Source organism: Homo sapiens, chromosome 12 (genome assembly GCF_000001405.40).
Source record: "Homo sapiens chromosome 12, GRCh38.p14 Primary Assembly".
Taxonomy (NCBI): Eukaryota; Metazoa; Chordata; class Mammalia; order Primates; family Hominidae; genus Homo; species Homo sapiens.
The window spans coordinates 84574250-84601885 of NC_000012.12; positions in this window are offsets into that span (position 1 = coordinate 84574250).

Below are 27636 nucleotides of genomic sequence, written 5' to 3' on the forward strand. Positions count from 1 at the left end.
TTCAGATATTTCTTCTTCAGCCTTTGCCTTTTCTTTACCTGCCCAACCATGTGTACCAAAAGCTTTCATAATTTGCTTCAGTTCACATTACCTCTGTCAGAGACACAGAGCTCTGCTTACATTAGAGATTACTTTCACACTCATGTAAAATAGAATTTGGAGCTAGTCTTCACATTCCACTCCCAGGTATCTGGTGGCATTCAATAGTAAATGTGTTAAATTTACTTTCCCCAGCTCCACAGGGACACTGGATTGCAGCTTCCCTACCTGTCTCATAGATGCACCCAATTTGTTGAATAAATTACTGGCATATAATCCCTTTCCAGGTCCCTACTAGAAAGTCATTCTGCTCTGTGTGCTGGCATGGTTAGCTGAGGGTTCTGAAATCCTCACATAGTCCCTGCTAATCTTCTCCAGTGTCAAATTGGGATTCTAATATTCTCTGTATAAAACATAATTTGTCCCATGTAATATCTCATGAACAATATAGGCCTTCCACTACATTTTGTATATAATTTGATTATTTATTTTAGATTTCAAGTTCAAAATTGTCTCAGTCCATATCAACTTATTTACTTTTCCTTCTACTGACTATTTTCCTTTGGGTTCCCTGCTAAAGAGTATAGCGGGTAGGCAAGATGGCCAAGTATGGGAGGTGCAGTCAGAGGCTCCCACCAAGAAGAATGAAAATGGTGAGTAAATCCTGTATTGGCAACGGAGGTATCTGACAGAGCAGGATCACCGTCATCTGGGACAAACACCAACACTTTACCCAGGGGAGGCATGTCCACCATCATTGTGGCTGCCTTCTGCCTAAGACAACTGAACTCCCAGGGGGAAGAGCAGCAGCCATCACTTCAGCTCCAGTCTGTTGTTTTCTCCTGCTGGTGCCAGGGAGACTGGGTGGTTTGAACCCAGGAGGAATTTCCCACAGTGCACCACAGCAGCTGTGGCAGATCATGGCCTGACTGCCTCTTTAGGCCATATCCAGACCATCCTTCCTCACCAGGTGGGGGCTCCCTGTGGGAATTTCAGCAACTCCAGTAGGGGGTTTATGGACGGAACTCTGATTTCCCTGGGATGGTGCCCCTGTGGGGAGGGGGTGGCTGTGGTTTCTGCACATCAGCATAAATAAAACAGGCAGACAAGATTAGAGAAATAAGAATAAAAAGGATTGAACAAAACCTCCAAGAACTACGGGATTATGTAAAAAGACTGAACCTACAATTGATTGGGGTACCTAAAAGAGACAGGGATAATGGAACCAAGTTGGAAAACATGCTTTAGGATATCATCCAGGAGAACTTCCTCAACACAGCAAGACAGGCCAACATTCACATTCAGAAAATCCAGAGAACCACAGGAAGATACTCCATGAGAAGATCATCCCCAAGACACATAATCATCAGATTCTCCAAAGTCAACATGAAGGAAAAAATGTTAAGGGCAGCCAGAGAGAAAGGCCAGGTCACCTACAAAGGGAAGCCCATCAGACTAACAGCAGATCTCTCAGCCTAAACTCTACAAGCCAGAAGAGATTGGGGCCAATATTCAACATTCCTAAAGAGCAGAGTTTCCAACCGGAATTCCGTATCCGGCCACACTAAACTTCCTAAGCAAAGAAGAAATAAAATTCTTTGCAGGCAAGCAAATGCTGAGGGAATTTGTCACCACCTGGCCTGCCTTGCAAGTGCTCCTAAAGGAAGCACTAAATGTGGAAAAGAAAAGCCATTATGAGCCACTATAAAAATACGCTGAAGTACAAAGACCAATGACATATGAAGCAACTACATCAACAGGTCTGCAAAATAACCAGCTAGCATCATGATGACAGGATCAAATTCATACATAACAATATTAACCTTAAATGTAATATCGGTTACCTTTATAATATTATTATATAAATATAAATATTAAACTTACTATTAATACATATTAAACTTAATATTAACACATATTAAGTTTAATGTGTAATAGGTATTAAATGTAACAGGTAACCAATATTATAAAATGCCCCAATTAAAAGATACAGGATGGCAAGCTGATAAACAGTTAAGACCCATCTACTTGTGTGCTATATTCAAGAGACCCATCTCACATGCAAAGACACACATAGCCTCAAAATAAAGGAATGGAGTAAAATTTACCAAGCAAATAGAAAACAGAAAAAAGCAGGAATTGCCATCCTAGTTTCTAACAAAACAGACTTTAAACCTACAAAAATCAAAAAAGACAAAAAAGGCATTACACAATGGTAAAGTGTTCAATTCAACAAGAAGAGCTAACTATCCTAAATATATATGCACCCAATACAAAAGTGCCCAGATTCATAAAATAAGTGCTTAGATACCTATGAAGAGACATAGACTCCCACACAATAATAGTGAGAGACGTTAGCACCCCACTCTCAATATTAGATCATCGAGACAGAAAATTAACAAAGATATTCAGGACTTGAACTCAGCTCTGGATCAAGTGGACCTGACAGATATCTACAGGACTGTCCACCCAAAAACAACAGAAGATACATTCTTCTTGGTGCTACATGGCATTCACTCTAAAATTGATCACATAATTGAAAGTAAAATACTTCTCAGCAAATGCAGAAAAACTGAAATCATAATAAACAGTCTCTCAGAACAGAGCACAGTTAAATTAGAACTCAAGATTAAGAAACTCACTCAAAACCACACAACTACATGGACATTGAACAGCCTGCTCCTTAATGACTACTGGATAAATAATAAAATTAAGACAGAAATTAAGAAGTTCTTTGAAACCAATGAGAGCAAAAAGACAATATACCAGAATCTCTGGGATGCAGCTAAAGCAGTGTTAAGAGGGAAATGTATAGCACTAAATGCCAACATCAAAAAGCTAGAAAGATCTCAAATTGACATCCTAACATCACAACTAAAAGAGCTAGAGAATCAAGAGCAAAAAACCCCAAAGAGAGCAGAAGACAAGAAACAACCAAGATCAGAGCAGAGCAGAACTGAAGGAGAAGGAGATGGAGACACAAAAAATCTTTCAAAAAATCAATGAATCCAGGTGCTGGTTTTGGGAAAAATTAAGAAAATAGACAGACTGCTGTCTAGTCTAACCTAGACTAATAAAGGAGAAAAGAGAGAAAAATCAAATAGACACAATAAAGAATGATAAATGGATATCACCCCTGACCCCACAGAAATACAACCAACCACCAGAGAATACTATTAAATACTTCTATGCAAATAAACTAGAAAATCTAGAAGAAATAGGCAAATTCCTGAACACATACAACCTCCCAAGAGAGAATCAGGAAAATGTTGAATCCCTAAATAGGCCTACTACAAGTTCTGAAATTGTGGCGGTAATAAATAGTGTATCAAACAAAAAAAGACTAGGCCAACACAGATTTACAGCTGAATTCTACCAGAGGTACAAAGATAAGCTGGTACCATTTCTTCTGAAACTATTTCAAACAATTGAAAAGAAGGGACTTCTCCTTAACTCATTTCATGAAACTGGTATAATCGTGATACCAAAATCTGGCAGAGACACAATAAAAAAAGAAAACTTCATGCCAATATCCCTGATGAACATCAATGCAAAAATCCTCAATAAAATACTGACAAAGGAAATCCAGCAGCACATCAAAGAGCTTATCCACAACAATCATGTGGGCTTCATCCTTGGGATGCAAGTCTGGTTCAACATATGCAAATCAATAAATGTAATTAATCACATAAACAAAACTAAAGACAAAACCCAAATGATTATCTCAATAGATACAGAAATTGCCTTTGAAAAAATTCAACATTCTTTCATGTTAAAATCTCTCAATAAACTAGGTATTGATGGGACATACCTCAAAATAATAAGAGCCATTCATGACAAATACACAGCTGATATCATACTGAATGGGCAAAAGCTAGAAGCATTTCCTTTGAAAACCAGCACAAGACAAAGATGCCCTCTCTCACCACTGCTATTGAACATAGTATTGGAAGTTCTGGCCAGATCAATTAGGCAAGAGAAAGAAATAAAAGGCATTCAAATAGGAGGGGAGGAAGTTAAACTGTCTCTGTTTGGAGATGACATGATCCTATGTCTAGAAAACCCCATTGTCTCAGCCCATATGCTTTTTTTTTTTTTTTTTTTTTTGACAAAGTCTCACTCTGTTGCCTAGGCTGGAGTGCAATGGTGCGATCTCTGCTCACTGCAACCTCTGCCTCCCAGGTTCAAGCAATACTCCTGCCTCAGCCTCCTGAGTAGCTGGCATTACAAGTGCCTGCCACCACTCCTAGCTAATTTTTGTATTTTTAGTAGAGGTGAGGTTTCACCATGTGTGCCAGGCTCATCTTAAACTCCTGACTTTAGGTGATCCACCTGTTTCAGCCTCCCAATGTGCTAGGATTACAGGAGTGAGGCACCACACTCAGCCTGTCAATTCATATGCTTCTTAAGCTGATAAGCAACTTCAGCAGAGTCTCAGGATACAAAATTAATGTGCAAAGATCACAAGTATTCTTACACACCAACAATAGACAAGCAAAGAGCCAAATCATGAATAAACTCCCATTCACAATTGTTACAAAGAGAGTAAAATACCTAGGAATGCAGCTAACAAAGGAAGTGAAGGTGAAGGACCTCTTCAAGGAAAACTACAAACCACTATTCAACAAAAAATCAGAGAGGACACAAACAAATGGAGAAATATTCCATGCTCATGAAAGAGTCAATATCATGAAAATGGCCATACTACCCAAAGTAACTGATAGATACAACGGTATTCCCATTAAACTACCATTGACATTCTTCACAGTATTAGAAAAACTACTTTAAAATTTATATGAAACTAAAAAAGAGCCCATATAGCTAATTCAATTCTAATCAAAAAGAACAAAGATGGAGGTATTACAGATACCTGACTTCAAACTATACTACAAGGCTACAGTAGCCAAAACAGCCTGGTACTTGTACAAAAACAGACATATAGACCAATGGAACAGAATAGAAAACTTAGAAGTAAGTCCACACATCTACAACCATCTGATCTTTGACAAATCTGACAAAAACAAGCAACGGAGAAAGGATTCTCTATTTAATAAATAGTGTGGGGAGAACTGGCTAGCGATATGCAGAATATTGAAACTAGACCCCTTCCTTACACCATATTTTAAAAAACCATCTCAAAATGGATTAAAGACTTAAATGTAAAACCCAAAACTATTAAAACCCTAAAAGAAAACCTAGGCAATACCATTCAGGACATAGGCACGGGCAATGATTTCATGACAAGGCACTAAGAGCAGTTGCAACAAAGGCAAAAAATGATAAATGGGATCTAGTTAACCTAAAGAGCTTCTGTGCAGCGAAATAAACTATCATCAGAGTAAAAGACAACCTACAGGATGGGAGAACATGTTTGCAATCTATTCGTCTGACAAAGGTCTCATATCTAGCATCTACAAGGAACTTAAACAAATTTATCAGAAAAAAGCAAACATTAAATAGCGGGCAAAGGATATGAACAGAGACTTCTCAAAAGATGACATTTATGTGGTAAACATGAAAAAAGCTCAACATCACTAATCATTAGAGAAATGCAAATCAAAACCACAATGATATGCCATCTCACGTCAGTCAGAATGGTGATTATTAAAAAGTCAAGAAACAACAGATGCTGGTGAGGCTGTGGAGCAATAAGATCGCTTTTACACTGTTGATGGGAATGTATTAGTTCAACCATTGTGGAAGACAGTGTGGGAATTCCTCAGACACCTAGAGGGGGAAATATCATTTGACCCAGCAATCCCATTACTGAGTATATACCCAAAGGGATATAAATATTTCTATTATAAAGATACACGCAGGCCAGGCGTGGTCCAGCAGAAACCAAGTCTCAAAGATTTCTTAAGAACTTTGCAAACAAAATAATCAATAACATGCTTACTGACATGCAATGGAATCTAGCGAGTCAGTCATCCTTAGTTTTCTCATTTTTCCATATTACAAAAAAACTTTAAACTCAGAATGAGATAAAACACTTGGAAAACAAATATCTGAAAGAAAAAACTTGTATTCAAATATATAAAGAGCTCTTAACATTTAAGAATAAATACACAAACAAGCTTTTTTTTTATATGGGCAAATAATCTGGGCAGTCTTTTCACCAAAAAATATAAGCATAAAAAATAAAACTACAAAACATGCTCAATACCATTTGTCACTAGGAAATTACAAATAAATATTACTTTGATTTCATATACCTATTAGAACAGCTGAAATGAGAAAAAAATCTGAAAATATCAATTGTTATCTAGGATGCAGAGCAACATGAACACTTATTAATTACTTTTGGAAATGCAAAATAATACAAGCACTTTGGAACACAGTTCAGCATTTTTTCAAAGCTAAACATCGTCTTACCATATGATATGGCAGTCATGTTCCTATTTGTCTCCCAATTAATTTGAAAATGTATGTTCACACAAAAAAAATGCTCACATATGTTTATATAAATTTTATTATAATTTCCCAAAACTGGAACTAACCAAAATATCTTTCAATAGGCAAATTATAAACAAACCTGGTATATCCATCAATACAATATAATAATTTTATTATGAAAAATAAGCTATCAAGCCATTAAAATAAAAATGAATCAAACTTAAATACATTCATTTAAAGAACCCAGTCTGAAAAGACTACATACTGTTTGAGGGTTTACAGAAGGCAAGAGGGTTAAATGGAGGGAAATATTTTAGAGTAGTGAACCTGTTCTATATGATACTATAATGGTGCATACTTGACGCTACACATTTGTCAATACTTGCATTACTTTAAATTGCAAAGAGTGAACCTTAATATTTAGGAGGTCAGAGGATATCAATATGCATGCAGAAGATGAGAAAACCATCAACTGTATCAAGAATGCCTAAAACAATGACACTGAATGGTGGCGGAGGAATAAGCACTTACGTAAGTAATTTGGAAAAAGGGTCAAGTCAATAAGACTAAAGGCAAAAGAAACTATGCATTAGTACCACATTCTAGTTTATACAATTTGTTTCTAAAAGGCACAGGTTAACAATTCTGACATCACTCTATGTGCATACTGAAATTGAAAAATTGTTTAAATGGATGGCAGTTGCTGGTACTCTAGTTTCTCATGGTTGAAGTGGGGATTTATAGATAAATAGGCTAGAGTAATTCATTTGGTAATGGATTGCGGTCAGAGACATCAGAATGAAATCATATTTGCTTTAACATAGATACAGATGGTTAAACATAGACATATTCCTATGTCTTTGTATATGCACAGATTAGCATACACATATATATTTTCATGTTGTGCCAACAGAGAGGACCTAGAAGCAATGACACCTCAGTAGCAAGCAGTACACCTATCCACCTATATCCTAAATCTAATAAGAGGGATCATAGCTATTTGGAGCTCAATAACTGATGAATGAAGTATACAAGATGAGCTTAGAGAATCTTGTAGTGCGAGAAAGTAAGGAAATGCTCAAATTAAAAAATCTCACTATGATGGGGATGTCAACACAATATTGAGCCAACTGAGAGAGCTCTCAATGGCCAAAACTAACACAATTTGAGCAACAAAATAAAGTAATATTGAATTATAACCCGAAGTATAAAATAAATGTTAATTACTCAATGATGACATAAATAAATGAATGAATAAATAAACGGGAGAGAAGAGATAAATCTCCTCTGCAAAATAATTCCAAATAATTTATGTAGGTATTCCACTCTCAAGTAAGTTTTGCATAACTCTCCACTTAAGTGTGAGTTGCACACTGACGTCCTTCTAATGTGCACAATATCAAGCTATAACATGAAGTATTACTGTTGATGTTGAAGTCATCAACAATAGTAAGTCATGTTAATTGTACATACCCTTGATATGATGTGATAGAAATGTCACCTTATTTCTGTGGTCTTTTTCCCCAAATCCCATAACCACAGTATAATCGTTAAAAAAATCAGACATATACCAGTTGAGGGAAATTAAGCAAAATACCTGACCATTCCTTCTTAAAAATATCAAGAGAGTTCTTCAAAAACAAAGAAAGTTTGAGAAACTGTCATAGTCAAAAGGACTCTAAGGAAACATAATGAGTACATGTAATGTGATAATCTGGATAGGATTCTCAAACAGAGAGAGAATATTAGTTCAATACCAAGGACATCTGAATAAAGTAAGGATTTTAGTTAATAATAATCTATTAATATAAGTTCATTAATTATATCAAATATGTCATATTAATGTTAGACATTAACAACAGGGAAAACTGGGTACTCTGTGCCATCTTCATAATTTTTCTCTAAATCTAAAACTACTCTTAAAATAAAAATAATAGTTTAAAACAATGTTATATAACTTGTCATAGATAGAGCATTTAGCATGTAGCAGAGCCAGGATTTGAACCTAAGCATTCTGACCGTAAGTGCCTTTTTACTGTCAACTAATACTAACTGTGAAGAGAGTAATATGTAAGAATAGTATAAAGAGAAATAAGTTTGCCACTGGGGTAACAAAGCTTAATAAGCTTCTTTATCATACCAAAAGATTTCTAGGCATTTTCAGTGAGGTAATTAACTGTGACTACTCAAGAAAAGAATATCATTCAACTATGGAAGCATTTCCTTGTGGAACTTATGATCGTGAGGCACATCCTGGAACACATGTTGAATAAAATATATACTGTAAGAACAATGTCATGCCACTCTTACAAATCTGGGGGGTGAATAAAACATTTCTCTGAACTAAACTCTACTCTTTGTCAATAAAATGCTTAGTTTTTTATATTCGTTTGTTTGTTTTGGCCATTTTAAACAGAGGATGAAGACACACTAAGACTATTTTGTTTATTTCATCAGTATCCATTTTAAAAGAATACTAAGGAAAGGAAAAACACAAAATGAAAAAGTATCCATTTCCATAGTTGGCATATTTCTCTGTCTATTAAGTGAACCAATTTTAGAATAATTTGTGTTTTTCTGTAATTCATCTTGGCGTGTCATTCTATTTTCCTTGGTACCACTTTGTTCTTTTTCTTCTGATTGCTGTTGCAATGACACTTGTAAATTAAGGAAGAGGAAAAACTACGTTTGTAATTAACATATATCTCTTGCATTTCCATATTTTAAAAGCAGAGTGATTAAGCCAGCTTATTAGCTTATGAAACATTTGATTGAGCATTCATTCTTACTACCTTCAGGATTTTTCTTCTTTTCTGCTTCCTACTGCTTCGTACTGGGCAAGATGGAAAACCATCCACCTTGATTTCTCCTCTTCTGAAAATTTGAGATGAAATGTCTTATAAAAATGTAAAAATCCTATGAACAAATGCCAGGGTACAAGATTAACACGGAAGATGGAGCTATGGTCTTCCTTGAATGAATACATATCTCAAGACCTAAAATGGCCTTAGTTCATGTAATTAAAAATCTCTGTGCTTATTCCTATGAATGTTATATAGAACTTAATCAAATATGGACTTTTTGATATTCTAGCTCACAAAATACAAGAAATATGAACCTCATTCAGCATGCCATACTAAAGTGGAAAGCTGAAATAATTACTGCTGTCCTCTCTAAATCCAAAATGCGTGCAATTACAATTACTCAGGTTATTTTTTTCAATGTGAAAGTCAAAGAGAAATTGTATTACTAAATACTACAGATATATTTTTCAGACATTTTGTGTGATTCAACTATATTCTTATTTTTTATCTATTTATTCAACTAAACTAGTCATTGTAAGTTCCAAACATTTAAGGTTATATTACTTAGCTCAATTTGTTAAAGCATTAAAAATGATATTAAAGTGATTAATAGGTACCATATCAATTTAAAAGGTTATGTAGTCTTACAACTAAATACAATATAATAAGACTCATTATGATATTTCATACACACAAAATGTGTTATTGGTCACCAGGTTAATTAGTACAGAAATCAACAGTTTACAAATAAAATGCATTGACCTTAAATAAAAACTCTATTCTTCAACTCTCAACAGACATGGGACTAATTCCACTATGCTTCATATTTCATGTTACCCAAGTGTGTATTCCTTTTATTCATCCTTTATCTTATCAGCATCCCTATACTGTTTAGTAAATGCTCCTCTTCCTCACTCTGCATGCTATTTTCTAATATATGGAACTCTAAACTTCTGCTCTAAAACTTCTGCTGGGGTCAGTATATTTTGTCTTCCCCACTGCCACTTTTTCTACTCTATTGACATCATGAAATTTACCTTTAACTTGAAATATAGGTTTTAAGAGTGCATGTGTTCTGAACTCAAAATACACAAGTTCAAATTCTGACTTTGGGCAAGTGACCTAATTACTCCACTTTATAGTTTGATTCCCCATCTATAAATCAAAAGTATCAAGTAATTACCTGATAGGGATAAAAGTGTTTATATATGGAAACAGATACAAATGGAAAATAGTTTAGAGACTATTATGACATAATTAAAATAATGTTTATAAATAAAATACATAGCATTTGCCTATTACTTCATTTTTTTTAATAATAGGTAACTCTATTTTATTTGCCCCTTGCTATATGTCATATACAGACGTTGCTAATTTTCTGAAGACTTGACAATCAGTTTATTTCTTTCTGTGACACTCCAATTTCTACTGTTATACTGGGTGATATGAATAACATTATAGGTTACTCATCTAACACTTCTGAGATCTGGACTTCATTATTTCCAAACAACTTCTAATCTATCTCATTAATTAATCTCAGTCACACTATGAACTCTTTCATTCCTACATACTTTCCTTATCTGGAATCACAATTTCATACCTTCCACTTTTAACAATATTTCTCCATTACTACATCCCCTGTTCTCCAGCTTCACTGGGATCTCCTAGTCTTGATTCTTTCCCTTTGTGTGTATCCACCAACAGCTTTTTGTCTTTTCTTACCTCTGTGTATAGCCTATTTGGCTTAGCAGGCTGATTTCTTCTTTGCATCTAACTTCCATCTCCTTTTTCCCACTACACCTCTGCTTCACTGGACTATTAAATCCTTTAAAGTTGGTATTTATTTTTTCCTGGCACAGAGTTTTCCCCATACTTATTGGGGTCAGCCTCCAATCCACATAAACCCCTAAGCCCATTCACCTAAGTTGACTCCTCAAATCCTCTGATGGCAGTTTGAACACTCTGTATTTGGGTAAGTCTTCTGTGTGTTCTGTATAATTTAACTCTTTTAGAAGTCATCAAATCTATGCTTAACTAAATTATCATTACATTTATTTATCCAATCACTTGTTTTTTGCAATCACTTGTTTTTTGCTCTAATAAGACCCTTGAATTTCAAGACCTTATCTGATTTCTCATTTAAATAGTAATATGCTTTACAAATGTTATTGTTAATGTAGGTAACAATAACAATGTTAGCATAGATATGAATACTCTTTTTGACTCCCTTTCTTCTCATATGCCCCCATCTCTAAACTATTTTCCATTTGTGTCTGTTTCCATATATAAAACACAACTTCTTTTCCTAGAAATTCTGAGTTTTAAAACTAGTAATATAAACTGGGGTGTGCTAGGTCACTACATCCAAGTCATCTGTTTTGGATCGGCTAATATTATTTCTTGCAGATGACAGGAAATGCAATTCAAACTGGATTAAACAACAGTACAAAAACATTTTTATTGCCTTATGTAACTGAAACATCCAGCTGTACGTTTTCAGGTGCAGCTTGATCTACAGCCTCCAATGCTGTCAACAGGAATTATTTTCCTCTACATGTTGTGCCTCTACATATACGATGTTGGCTTTGTTTTTAGTCTCTAGTTTTCCAGATTTAAGTTTAACAAAGAAGAGTTTGTCCCTTTCTTACAGTTGCCAAAGAAAGCATCACAATGTATCTCAAAGTTTTATTTGGACACTCATCACTTAGTCATCATGGAGTGCAAGAGAATGTTCTATCTCATTCGGTCAGATTTGGGTCTCCTTCCTACTTGCTCTAATCCTGATATTACGAGCAGAATCCCACAAGAAGCATCTGGCTAAAGATTTCCTCTAGATGAAGATTTATAGACCCATATTGGCTACCAGATGAAAATTATGTGGCACACACAAACACATTTGCATGTACATATGCTCACTGGAAATTACAGAAGTAGAAGGGCATCAATGAATTATATATGATCATATCTATACCCCTGACTTTATGGTTTTGGTTATATAAACAAGAAAGAGTGTTATACAATGAAAACTAACAAGAGTTATTTCTCTAATTGAGGGGTATTTAATCAATCTTGTTATATATGTTATTTATTTCCAAAGATTTGAAGATTAAAACCAAGCCATGGAATTTTTGATATATGTGCTTATCTTGAAAATCCACAAAGGTATGTTCAAAGCTCACTGGATATGTTTTAGGCTATCTTTTGATCAAAATATATTTCATATTAATACTCTTATAATTAGCAAATAATTAATATCATGTTTCATAAAATATCAAATATGATGAACCACGTGAGCTAAAAACTATATGAGAGAATGTGGTTATCCAGTCTACAAGATAAAGATAAGGCATGAGAGAAAGTTGGGGAGAGAACACTGTAAGCATTGATGGTAATGGGATAAGAATTCAACCCCCCAAAGGTTAAATTATTATACTAATTGAAATACTAAGGTAACTGGTAGAAAAAGAATTAGCCCATAGTTGGCAAAGAATTCCTAGGCATATGGATAGAGAGAATTTGAGTTGCTCCTTGTTCTGCCACTTTCTATTTGACTTTGGTAAGTTATGTATTGTCTTCAGGAATCTGTTTTCTTTCCTATGAAACAGGCATAGTAAGAGCTACCTCTCAAATAGTGATAACAAATATATATATAACACAATAATATTAAATCAATTATTACTCTGCTTTGAAGATGCAGCACTAATTTATAAGAAAGTGGAGAAAAACTGATGACCACAAAAGGAAAAACAGCTAAAAGCCACCTAGGACTAAAAATAAGTGCACTATAAAGCTACAAAATTTAGGTTTTAAAATTCCATAAGTGAAATCTTGACTCATTTTCATGAATGACATTCTCTATATTTTACTTGATTCTGCCAAGACTTATTTTTTTAAGTAGAAGTTTCAAGTGTACCTGCCAATAGGGCCTATTCCTAGAGTCTAAGAACATCAATAACCTTCAAAACTGCAAGAAAGAATACCCAAATTACTCACTTAACTATTTACCTAATGACTTTCAGTGGTTCAGTTTTCAAATAACCTCTGAGCTGGCTATACTTGAAAAGTCAAAATGTTAAATGAAAGCATCAATAAACTGATCTGGTCACTCCTGGTATCATAGAAGAGAATATAAGACTTGATTTATCTATATTTACTAATTTATTTTATGAATTATTAATATTTTTACCTCACCTATCTTGAGACAATTTTGATTATGTTCACTTTATTAATTATAAATTAGTTTACATATCAACAGAGATTTATTGAGGGTACATTTTTCAAAGCTGTTTAAAAATCTGTTAGAACGAAAATTGATAATATAAAATGAAAGAGGGTACATTAACACTGATATGACAGAAATATAAAGACTATCAGAGATTATTATGAACAATTCTACATTAACAAACTGGAAAGCCTTAAAAAATGGATACATTTCTGAATAAATATAACCTGCCAAGATTTCATTGGAAAGGCACAGAAAACCTGAATAGACCAATAATGAATAAAGAGATTGAAACAGTAATGAAAAATCTTCCAACAAAGAAAATCCCAGGACCTGATAGCTTCACCACTAAATTCTACCAAACACTTAAAATATAACCAATATAATCCTTCTCGAACTCCTCCAAAAAAACTGAAGAGGACAGAATACCTCCAAACTTAGTTTATGCGGCCAGGAGTATCCTGATACAAAAACCAGACAAGGACCCTACAAGAAAAAAAAAATACATGCCAATAATATTGATAAACATAGATCCAAACATCCTCAACACAGTGCTAGCAAACCAATTAAACAGTATATTAAAAGGATCATTCATCATAATCAAGTGAGATTTATCCCTGGGATGCAATGATGGTTCAACATATCACAAATCAACTAAAGTGATACAACACAGAATGAAGGACAAAAATGAAATGATCATCTCAATACACGCAGCAAAGGCATTTGACAACCTTCAACACTGTTTTATGATTAAAAAAGCAAAAACTTTCAACAAATTAAGTATAGAAGGAGTGTACCTCAACGCAATAAAGGCTGTCTATGACAAACCTACAACTAACACTATACTTAACAGTGAAAAGTTGAAAGATTTTCCTCTAAGATCAAGATCAAGATAAGAATGCCCATTTTTACCACTTCTGCTCAACATAGTACCGGCAGTCCTTAGTCAGAGAAATTAGGCAAGACAAAGAAATAAAAGCCATCCAAAATGGGAAAAAAAAAAGAAGTTAAATTGTCTCTCTTTGCAGACATCATGATCTTATAGCTAGAATACCCTAAAGACTCTACAAAAACTCATAGAACCAACAAATAATTTCATTAGGTTTCAGGATACAAAATCAACATGCAAAATCAGTAGCATTTCTATACACTAACAACCATCTATCCAAAAAAGAAATTAAAAAAATACCATTTGAAATATCTTAAAAAACTTTAGGAATAAATTTAATCAAGGAAGTGAAAAAAACTGTACACTAAAAATCAAAACACTGATGAAAGAAATTGGAAAAAAAGCACATATAAATGTAAAGATATCTCCTGTTTGTGGTTTGGAATATGTAACATTGTCAAAGTGTCCATACTACCCAAAGCTATCTAGAAATTCAATACAATTCGTATTTAAGTTTCAGTGACATTTTTTATAGAAATAGGAAAAAAAAACTAAAACTTTTATAAAACCACAAAAGCCATGAATAGACAAAGCAAGCCTGAGAAAACAAAAACAAAAACAAAGCCATAGGCATCACAATACCTGATTCCAAAATCTGCCACAAGTCTATAGTAATCAAGACAGCATGGTACTGGCATAAAAATAGACACGTAGACAAATGCAACAGAACAGAGAGTCCAGAAATAAATTCACACTTTCACAGTCTATTGATTTTTGACAAAGATGCCAAGATTACACAATGGGGAAAGGACAGTCTCTTCAACAAATTATGTTGGGAGAACTGGATATATACATGCAGAAGAATGAAATTAAACCCTCATGTCACACTATATTCAAAAATAAACTCAAAATTGTTAAAGACTTACATGTAAGACCTGCAAATGTAAAAACTTTTCAAAGAAACATAGGAGGAGATCTCCATGGCATTGATGAGGGCAATGATTTTTGGATATGACCCCAAAAGCACAGGAAACACAGGTAAAAATAGACAAATGGAATTACATCAAACTAAAAATCTTCTGCACAGCCAAGGATACCATCAACAGAGTGAAGAGACAACCTACGGAATGCAAGAAAGTTTTGCAAACCATACATTTGACAAGGAATTAATATCCAAAATATATAAGGAACTCCAACAACTCAATAGTAAGAAACACATAACCTGATTAAAAATGAGCAAAGGACCTGAATAAACATTTCTCAAAACAAGAAATACAAGTGGCCAACAGATATATGAAGAAGTGTTCAACATCACTAATCATCAGGGAAATACAAATGAAATACAAATGAAAACCACAATAAGATATCACCTCGCATGTGATAGAATGGCTGTTATAAAAAAGATGAAAGATAACAAATGTTAGTGAGCATGTGGACTTAAAAGGAATTCATACACTGTTGGTGGGAATTAGCACAGCCATTATGTAAATCAGTATAGAGGTTCTTCAATAAATTAGAAATAGAATTACCATATGATCCAGGAATCCTACTACTGGATATATATTCAAAAGAACTGAAATCAATATATTGAAGAGATATCTGAGTTCCTATGTTTATTGCAGCATTAAATACAATACCCAAACCTTTTTATCAATCTAAGTGTCTATCCATGAATGAATGGATAAAGAAAATGTGGTATATATACAAAATAGAATACTGTTCCAGCCTTTTAGAAGAAGAAAATCTGGTTATTTTTACAACGTGAATAAACCTAAAGGACATTATGTTAATATGAAATAAATCAGGTATAGAAAGACAAATAACACATCCCTCACTTATATGAGGAATTTTTAAAAGTTGAACTCATAGAAGCAGAGAGTAGAATGGTGATTACAAGGCTTGAAAGTGGGAGGATTGGGAAAACGTTGGTCAAAGTATACATGATTTCAGTTAAGAGGAATAAGTTAAAGAGATCTGTTGTAGAACATGGTGACTATATTTGAAAACATTATATTTTACACTTGAAAATTGCCACTAAATGAGTAGATTTAAGGTATTATCACCACAAAAAAAAAAACCAGAAAAATGTGAGACAATGCCTATGTCAATCAGCTTCATTTAGGCATTCCACATTGGATACATATATCAAAATATCATATCATATGCTCTAAATATATATATAACTTTTGTCAATTATTATAACTTAAAAGAATAGTGGATGGTGGACCTCTCCTGTTATTTACACGGATGAATTACTAGGTCAGAAAGGTTTTGCTAATGAATATTTTGATTATTAAAGCATTGGAAAAATCATTTGCCAAATCATACTTTTTCATAATAATATCTAATTTTCTCTCTGAGAATGGAGTCTGTTTGCTTCATGACCACAGATTCTGAGAAGGAATTCTGTTTTCTATTCCTGACTCTCTCAAACCAGGATGTGTTTTTATTAGTGTGGTTTTTAAAACTGCACATGTGTTCAATTTGGCTTTTGATGTCTCAATCCAATAATTTAGGCAATGACTGATAAATACATAGAATAATGTAACATGACACCATCCTAGGTTTCATATACAGAAAAAATACAAATATTTTCTGGAGTTCACAGAGACAATATATCCTCACATTTACGTCAATCCTCTATACACTTATGCATGTTCTAGGTTTTCCAAACATTCCTAGAAGCTTTTCCTCTTCATAAGTATGGGAATGAGGCTCAAATACATCTGTGTTGTCTCTGTTTCCTTTTATCCAAATATTCTACCCTGCCCCATGAGACAATATCTCTTTTTTCCATTTTTAATTATACCCTATTGCTTTATGTTGAATTTTGTCAAATTCAATGATGTTTATAATGATACCATTTATGAAAATTATGCTCAAACTCAGAGTTAAATCATTTAGAAATATTCAACATAAAGCAATAGAGTATATTTAAAAATGGAAAAAACAGATGTTGTCTCATGGGGCAGGGTAGAATATTTGGATAAAAGGAAACAGAGACTACACAGATGTGTTTGAGCCTCATTCCCTTACTTATGAAGAGGAAAAGCTTCTAGGAATGTTTGGAAAACCTAGAACATGCATAAGTGTATAGAGGATTGATGTAAATGTGAGGATATATTGTTTCTGTGGACTCCAGAAAATATTTGTATTTTTTCTGTATATGAAACCTAGGATGGTGTCATGTTACATTATTCTATGTATTTATCAGTCATTGCCTAAATTATTGGATTGAGACATCAAAAGCCAAATGGAAAAAACTACTTTAAAGTTCATATGGAACCAAAAAAGAGCCCGCATTGCCAAGTCAATCCTAAGCCAAAAGAACAAAGCTGGAGGCATCAGGCTACCTGATTTCAAACTATACTACAAGGCTACAGTAACCAAAACAGCATGGTACTGGTACCAAAACGGAGATATAGATCAATGGAACAGAACAGAGCCCTCAGAAATAACGCTGCATATCTACAACTATCTGATCTTTGACAAACCTAAGAAAAACAAGCAATGGGGAAAGGATTCCCTATTTAATAAATGGTGCTGGAAAAACTGGCTAGCCACATGTAGAAAGCTGAAACTGGATCCCTTCCTTACACCTTATACAAAAACTAATTCAAGATGGATTAAAGACTTAAACGTTAGACCTAAAATCATAAAAACCCTAGAAGAAAACCTAGGCATTACCATTCAGGACATAGGCATGGGCAAGGACTTCATGTCTAAAACACCAAAAGCAATGGCAACAAAAGCCACAATTGACAAATGGGATCTAATTAAACTAAAGAGCTTCTGCACAGCAAAAGAAACTACCATCAGAGTGAACAGGCAACCTACAAAATGGGAGAAAATTGTCACAACCTACTCATCTGACAAAGGGCTAATATCCAGAATCTACAGTGAACTCAAACAAATTTACAAGAAAAAAACAAACAAACCCATCAAAAAGTGGGTGAAGGACATGAACAGACACTTCTCAAAAGAAGACATTTATGCAGCCAAAAAACACATGAAAAAATGCTCACCATCACTGGCCATCAGAGAAATGCAAATCAAAACCACAGTGAGATACCATCTCACACCAGTTAGAATGGCGATCATTAAAAAGTCAGGAAACAACAGGTGCTGGAGAGGATGTGGAGAAATAGGAACACTTTTACACTGTTGGTGGGACGGTAAACTAGTTAAACCCTTGTGGAAGTCAGTGTGGCGATTCCTCAGGGATCTAGAACTAGAAATGCCATTTGACCCAGCCATCCCATTACTGGGTATATACCCAAAGGACTATAAATCATGCTGCTATAAAGACACATGTACACGTATGTTTATTGCGGCATTATTCACAATAGCAAAGACTTGGAACCAAGCCAAATGTCCAACAATGATAGACTGGATTAAGAAAATGTGGCACATATACACCATGGAATACTATGCCGCCATAAAAAATGATGAGTTCATGTCCTTTGTAGGGACATGGATGAAATTGGAAATCATCATTCTCAGTAAACTATTGCAAGAACAAAAAACCAAACACTGCATATTCTCACTCATAGGTGGGAATTGAACAATGAGAACACTTGGACACAGGAAGGGGAACATCACACTCTGGGAACTGTTTTGGGGTGGGGGGAGGGGGGAGGGATAGCTTTAGGAGATATACCTAATGCTAAATGACCAGTTAATGGGCGCAGCACACCAGCATGGCACATGTATACATATGTAACTAACCTGCACATTGTGCACATGTACCCTAAAACTTAAAGTACAATAATAATAAAATTAAATCAAATTTAAAAAAAAAAGAACATCATTGGTTTTACAGGTTTGATACTTGACCGTTGCAAACTTAGTTTGATAACATAAGTGAATTAATATTTAGAAAAAAAACACAGCTAATGATTTTGTGAGAAATTCCAAAAAGCATGACTGCAGTGAGTCAAGAGATATTGAATACTGAGGTTGTTTTTTGAGTTTCTAGTAGGAAAATACCATCTTATGCCCACATACAAATTTGAGCCTCTTTAATAACACTCTGAAAACTGATTTTTTTTATTAATGCCTACTTTTCTGACTATCTATGAACTTTTCAAGGGCTGGAATTATAATTACCTTTTTCAGTAGTGCATAGAATTACCTGACATATACCAGGTACTTATTAAATATTGTTTAATTAATAAATACAATTTGTAAATTTTGGAAACAAAGATAACTTATGATTTTAACATTCCATCTCTCTATAAGATTAATCCCTTAATATTAAAAGTCCTACCTAATAAAAAGATTGGGCTATTTCACACTTCTACTTATAAGTAATAAATTATTCCTTTATCCTAACTTTCCAAATAATTCCTAGATAATTGTAAATCTTTTTCCTAGTCTTCATCTTCCACAATATTTGTCCCCTCACTTTTTTGATTCTGTGTTTCTAATGTTATTATTTGGCATAGAGTATTATTCTTTGCCTTGTATAACTACCCAAAGCTTAACTAACACTATGACAATACAATTTATATCATTGCCAGCCTAAATCTTCAGACTTGGAGTATGAATAAAACACAATTTTGAGACGTTGCAACCATGTTATAATCAGAGATTTCCTGAAGAAGATATGAGCTTGAAGAACACCCCTTCATTCCAGTCGTCTAAATTCTAAAGAAGACATTTACAGTAACGTTTATTCATACATAGATGGTCAGAAAACACCATATTACATCCAAATGGCCTGCACAGATAAGGGGGAGCTAAAATCATGGTTGTTAATGTTGAGTTTTCAAGTCAATGTATACATTACCTAAATAAATATTTGGATTCTGACACATGCAAGTAACGGATACAATTTTCCAACTTAATCACACTTCAATGTTTAATGATGCCAAGGCTCTTGAATTGTAAATCCAATAACTAACTTACACGGTTTTACCTTCTGTAAGTTGTTCGTTTCTGTGAGCTTTACTGTTCTACTTTTCACGTGTTTACTTTACTTATGGTTCCCTCTCATTTTTTATTCTTTCCATCATGTTTAAATCTTATGCTTTCTCCTTGAAGAAAATTTTTCTATTTCATTATTCTATTACATTAACTTATATTGAGTCCTCCATCATTGAAGTCCTACCACATTTATGTTTAGTACATTATAAAAGTAACTACTTGACAAAATAACTCGAGAGTCACAAAATTAAAGCATTACGAGAATGGGTTTCGTAGTTCTGCAGACTTTGCCATAAAAATCAGTATTGCCACTTTCTTGATGTGTGATTGCAGATGAATTGCTTAACTTCTCTCTGTCCCAATTTCTTCAACAGAAAATTGGGGTAGTAATTGTACATGCTTTGTGGCTTTTTGACAAGACCTAGGCATACTTCCTGTCACATAATGGGAGCTTATTAACCATTCACCACCAGAATATTACTAAGGGACCTTGGACGTCGGCATGTCTATGTTACTATCAGCATGACCTTGAAAAAGTTACTTATTTTTGAGAATCAACATCGTTAATTCTAAATTGAAGATAAAATTATATATTTTTTTATTTGGCTCATAAAAGTTTTGTTAGAATTAGTTCATTGAACCCCACCATTATTATCATTGCCCTGTATATTATTTTTAATTATAATAATTTGTTAAATCTGTTGCGTTAAAGTAGGGCACAAGATGGAAAAAGATGAAGTCTTTATATATAAATTTTCACATGCCATTCTCTCAAACACAGGTTTGAAAAATAAGTAACAGGTGCTTAGTAAAGTATTAGTGATCAGGAAATAATAGACCAAAATCTGGGGATGTTGCTACCTTCTTGGATAACAGGTGTATGAGATAAGACAGGAGCAGCATGGTAGGAACAGCATTATCTTGGGATGATTAGTTCATGTTGGGTAGTCTGTCCTCAAGCGTGATTAATTAATCTACTTCATAGCTTACATATATTTTACATACATTCTCTTTTAAGTTTCAGATATTACATAAAATTCTAAAAAAAAAAAAAAAAAGCAGAAGTTGGCCAGGCACGGAGGCTTACACCTGTAATCCTAGCACTTTGGGAGGCCGAGGCGGGTGGATTGCCTGAGTGCAGGCATTCAAGACCAGCCTGGGCAACACAGTGAAACCTCATCTCTACTAAAAAACAAAAAACAAACAAACAAAAATAGCCAGGCATGGCGATGTGCGCCTGTAATCCTAGCTACTCGGGAGGCTGAGACAGGAGAATCACTTTAACCCGGGAGGCAGAGGTTGCAGTGAGCCGAGATCATGCCACTGCACTCCAGCCTGGGCAACAGAGCATGACTGTCTCAAAAAAAAAAAAAAAAAAAAGAAGTTACTGACTAAATATTTTCCAACTAGTGTGTATATATAAAATATATGAGATATTTTACATTTGAGATTAAAAAAACACAAATCTTGAGCTCAAGAAGTATTTTTTTCTGGAAAGACTTTACAAATCCATGCTTACAGAAGATTCTAAAAATTATGTGACAACCAAGTAAGATGAAAATGTATGACACCACCCTCTTCCTTTCAGTTTACATCTGAAATTGAATTTTGTAATCGTCCTCCACTATGTACTTATTCCTATTGCTTGGTTTTACCCAGATTTTATTTCCTTGTTTATTCCCAAGGATATAATTATACTTTTAAAAAAATTTTAACACTCACTAACATAGTGAAAAATTACCTGAGAAGTAAGGTAACTTAATAAAAGTCAAGCTTTCTTTTTTGCAGCCACAACATATTAAAAATTGCTTTGAGTTTAAATGTAAAACTTGGCATGCAGAGGTAAACAAAGAACAAAGAAGCATGCTGTTGGAAACAGTTGTGCATTGGCCTCTGAGGATAGAGTGTGAGGTGTAAGCTTATAGAAATTCTTTCTAGCTGGAAGTTGTATGCATTCCCTCCTGCTGTTTTATCCCCATATTTGCTTATACACTAGACTCATTGTAAGTCTCTATTCACAGAAATTCAGTTGGGCTATAGGCTCAAACCATGACTCTTTCATATGTAGAATGTATTTTTTTTTCTCTGACGAGCTACTTACGTCAAAATCTATAAAATAAATGAGTATTTTAAAAGTATAAAATGGCTCAGTGTAATAGGAATATAACTTCCTGAACCACATTAAACTGTGACAAGTTGTTCAAATTTACATGTTCCTCTTCATCTCAATGACGTGCGTCTGCATAAAGTGTCTCTGAAAAACAGAAATACATCAAATAAACAGATGTGAGAAACTGTGAGTTTGGCCAGAATGAGGAGATATCATAAGAAATATGGGCCAGATACTTAGCATTCTTCAGACACCTGAATTATGTTTTCTTTGCATTGTGTAAAGTTTCCATGTCCAGTTGATTCCTTTATGATTTAAACTTAATTAAGTAGAACATAAGAAATGTTTCAGTAGGTTTGATGCCTTTCCTTTTGTGTCTGTAAACTACATGAGGTCAGGAACTGTTAGCTTTCCCTCAGTCATGTTGTTGAAATACATAACCCCATAGTTTCACTGGCTTAAAAACACAAAGGTTTATGTTTGTTAACATTATAGGTCGACTGTGGGTCGACTAAGGCTCTGCTGTACGAATCTTCATTCTGGAATCTAGACTGAAGAATCAGCCACTATTTGAGACATTTTATTCTCATGGTGGAGAGAAAAGAGTAATGGTAAAAATCTACATGGCCTCTTGAAATTTCTTGTTGACAATGGCATGCACAACTTATGCTTACAGGCCACGGGCCCTGGTCAATAGCATGGCCAATATTGATGTCAACTGAACAGAAAATGATATATTTCTACTTGGATGTACATTGCAAGGCATATGGCAATGTGTGAGGACCATATTCCTCTTAGAGAGAGGGCGGCAAATAATTGGGAAAAATAAAACCATCTGCCACAAGAACTCATTCTGATATTCACTGCCGTGTGCCTCGTATCGAGGACAGTTTCCATTATTTAGTAGGTTTTTCATTTATTCTATGATTATGCCAACATTCACTTACTAAGTGTCTACTATGTATCAGATAATTACAATAAGATAAATTAGAGGATAATTTTCACTTATATGGAAAGGAAGATTAGCATACATGAAAACAAAGGAAAAGGAATAAATGAAAAATTGCAAGAGACTATAAGACTAGAAGAAACAATCTAGAAGAGAGTAGAAACCATGAATTGAAGAAGTTAAATAAAATCCCTGGAAAATGTTAAGTAGCATTTTTCCTGATAGAGAAGGGGAAAAGTGGAAAAGTACATTTACAGAGCCATAGAAAAAAAAAACAAAGAAATAATTAAATAATTAAATTATAAACTGGAGCAAGTTCATAATTCAATTAACATTGATAATTAGCCTTTGGCAATTTTCACCAATCACAGAATCTCAAGGTTAGTAGTATACTGGTAAACACTTAACAACTGGCTTTGCCAAGAGTAGGATGGCTCATCATCTGTAACATTTGCTCTTTTCCATGGTGTAAATTCTGCCACCATCACTGATTTCAAGCTACCGACGTGCATCAACCAGCCTTAAAAATTCCTGAAAATTAAACAGCCTTGTCTGCCAAGCTAGTAAATGCAATGTTCAGCATGTCACTGCTAAACATTCTTACAACTAAAACAAGTATCTTTATCACTTTGAGAATATCAGCCCTGGGATATTAATTCCTCTAGATTGCCTGGAAAATAATTAGTTTTCATTTAATCCAGGAACATTTCTAAAAAGCTAAAATTACTCAGGTACTCAGTTAAATGTGCTTGATATTATTTTACTCATTGTTATGATACAGAACTCATAATATTTAGTTCTGTCCTCTGTCGTGCAGCAACTCACTAAGCTCTCCTTGTGAGTGGATTCTTGGTTAGCCCCCGATGCTGTACCTAAAGGGGCTCACAGTTCCACAGGCCAAATTTGATGTTGACCCCTAGTGGTCTCTAAAACTGTGGAATTCAGTGTCTGGGGAAGCAGTTCATATGGAGAGAAAGAAAGAGATTTTGGGGTCAAATTGGAGTTTGCTAATGAAATCCTCATGTACCATCTCTGTGACCTTGGAACAATAATTATATCTCTGAGTTTTCTGTATTTGTATTCAAATCAGTGCTGTCTCTCTGTCCGATTCTGTTCCCAGGTGACCTCAGGTAAGTTAATTAATGCTTATGGATTTTATTTACACTTAAGTATTTAATGAGAACTTTGGTACAAATGATCCTTCAGGCCTCTTACATCCTATGATTTTGTGAAAATTTAATCCAAGTCTTGGGGTCCATTTGTTGCTGTAGCATGTTATAAAAGCAGCACTCATACAGAAGCTGTGGCTTCTTTTATATAGAAAGTGATATTTCATGCTGTATGTTTAACTTATTTTGCATATTGTCTCTCTCCTATCATTAGAATATGAGTATTATGATTTCAGGAGTTGTTGTTTTTTTGGTCACTATGTTTCATTTTAGGTTAGAAGGCTTCCACATTTTCCACTGTCTTTCCTAGTACGACCAGTATTTTCTATCCACGTAGAAGCTCTTCAAAGTTGAGGTGTCCAGTGAAGTCCCCATGTACCATCTCTGTGACCTTGGAACTTACCTCTCTGAGTTTTCTGTAAGACAGGCCAATAACATTGTTGCTTCACCTATTAGGTAGCATAATTATCAGCTGGCATTTAGTTGTTTTCATTGTTTAACTTTAATCAAATCAGTGATGTCCCTCTGTCCAATGTGATAGTCACTAGCCATGGATGGCTACTTAAATTTCCATTAATATGATTAAATCAAATAAAAACTATTCAGTTTGTCAAGTTGCACTACTGCATTTTCAGTGCTCAATAGCCACATCTGAGAACACAGATTTCCATCATTGTAGACAGTTCTATTTGACAGTGCTCCACAAGTATCCATGAAATACCATAATTCATGTAAGGCTAGCACATCAAGTCAGAAGTCTGATCTGATGTGGGGGATGGAACTTTTGACCAAAATCACAGTCTCTTTTCAGTTTTTTCTTCTAAATTCAGTATCTATGAGCTCAGGTTACATTGTGAGAAAAATCTCATCTTGCCTTCTATACTGTCCCTAGCCTCAGACATCCGTAACAATAAAATAGCTATTATCATTAAGAAGAACATGTGACATAATGGCTTTAAGTGCTTCTTGCAATCATTCATCATTTGCAGATGACAAAACTATGAGTCACACAAGTCACAATGCTTTTTAGTGAAATTGTCAGGCATGTGAACCAGACCGATTGGATATGCAATCCTTTGCTTTTATCCTAGATGTCACACTGCCTCACATTCCTAGGATATGCATGCTTTCTAGGAGTAACTTTCCTATGAAAATTTTGTAATGATGAATAGTTTGTAAAGGAAGACCACAAAAAAAATCCTAATCTATACTTGTAATGGATCATAAACCTAGTATATAAAAGGTTAATGAGTATCAATTTCTAATGAAATGTAAATAGTTTTTCTTTGGGATAAAATTAAATTTCTTATTTTTGTTTTATAATCTTAAATCTAGTATCTAATATGTTTGTATATTCTATAATACAATAGATCTTAAGGTTATAGCTATTCGAGCTTATTAAGTAATGTATATTTGTGCTATATGTTCCTTCTTTGGTAATAGAAATATATCAAAGATTATTTTCCTTGAAAAACAATTTTCTCAAAAATTTCCACTTTCCTAACAAGCTAAAGTCACTCTTTGAAGAAATTTCATGTAAACTGTTCCATTAATTTCAAAATAAATTTTATACTAGATTCATAGGCACAACTTGTAAAAAGAGATCCATCTCAGTTGGTGGTATTTATTTCCTTCTGCAATAGAACAATGTAGGTGTAATAGAAAACCAGAAAGAAAAATATCTGTTACTTAAAGAATAATGGTAAGTTAAAACAAAAGTATTTGTTTACTTCTTATGGAAGATGAATGACATTATTTTGTTGTGTACATTCTTGCTTACTTGAAGTACCATTCTGTAAAATGATGAGTGTTTTTGGTTCATGTTTTTGCTCATGTCCAGATATAGACCATTAATCATAGTGTCCACTTGGGTAAGGAGCAGCATTGCAGTAGTTTAGAGCATGCATTAGATATCCAGGCTGCTTAGGTTTGGCTACTAGCTCTGACAATCTATGTGACCTTAAGCAAGTAATGTAACTTCTCTGTGCACCATTTCCTCTGTTGTAGCATGAAAATAATAATTCTACCTTGGCTGAGTAATGAAATTAATTCATAAGAAAAAGGTTTATAATTTTATCTGGAGTAGTAGGCCCTCTGTGTTAGCAATTAACCCCTTAGAGAGGCTTATGAGAAAAAGGTAAAATATATCTATATGAATATATAAGACAAACAATTTTTAATAGAGAACACTAATGATCGTACACTATCTTCAACAGCCTCAATGTCACAAAGCTCAGAATAAAGACTTGTTTAATTTTCTATTTTTGTTTCTTTTATGTTTATACAGTAAATAGTAAATAAGCTACACAACCTAAATGTGCTCTAGAAATAAATTATTCCTCTTTACAATTAAATAGCATAAAAACGAGTGGGTATTTTCTAATATTTTATTAAAAATAAGCCAAATACATTTATATTAGTCAGCTAAAAGGATAAAGTTACTTCAATTCCTTATGCAAATATCTGATGAGATATTGAAGTTTACAACTAGACTTTCCTACACTAGGATCTCATAGTTATTAATTAGGAAATTATAATCATATTTGGGAGAAACCTGATACAATAAACAATCGTAGCTAAAAGTCAGTTGCTTTGTAACTATTAAATATTTTATTGATATTTTAGGTATGAAATCTTTTAATAACATTTCTTATAAAAGTTTTTATTTTAATTTTAAATAACTGCTTGCATCAGTCAAGGTTTGGGCAGTGAAATAGAAACTACGCTACATACTTCAGAAGAGAATTTAATATAGTGATTAGTTTCACGTGTGGAGGACTCATAAGGCAAAAAGGAACACTGAGGTAATGCAAAGACAGAAACTATAGGAAGCAGCTACTAGCTGTAGAAAGCAGAATGATCAGAATCTAGAAGCTTATGGGAGGGGCCAGAAAGAGCTTGCACTCAAACCTCTGAGGAAGGGTTGCTGCACTGCTTGATGCTAGTAAGTTAAGAGCTCCAAGGAAGGGCCCTAGAGGGTTGGGGCTAAAATTGATGAGATAGATAGTGTTGTCCAGCATGTGTGGATACACGTGAGAGAACACAATGAAGTTCGTTTTAAAAGTATCAAAACCTGGAACCAGCTATTGTTACCCAGGTGAAAGATCATTGCTTGGGCTATATTGACAAT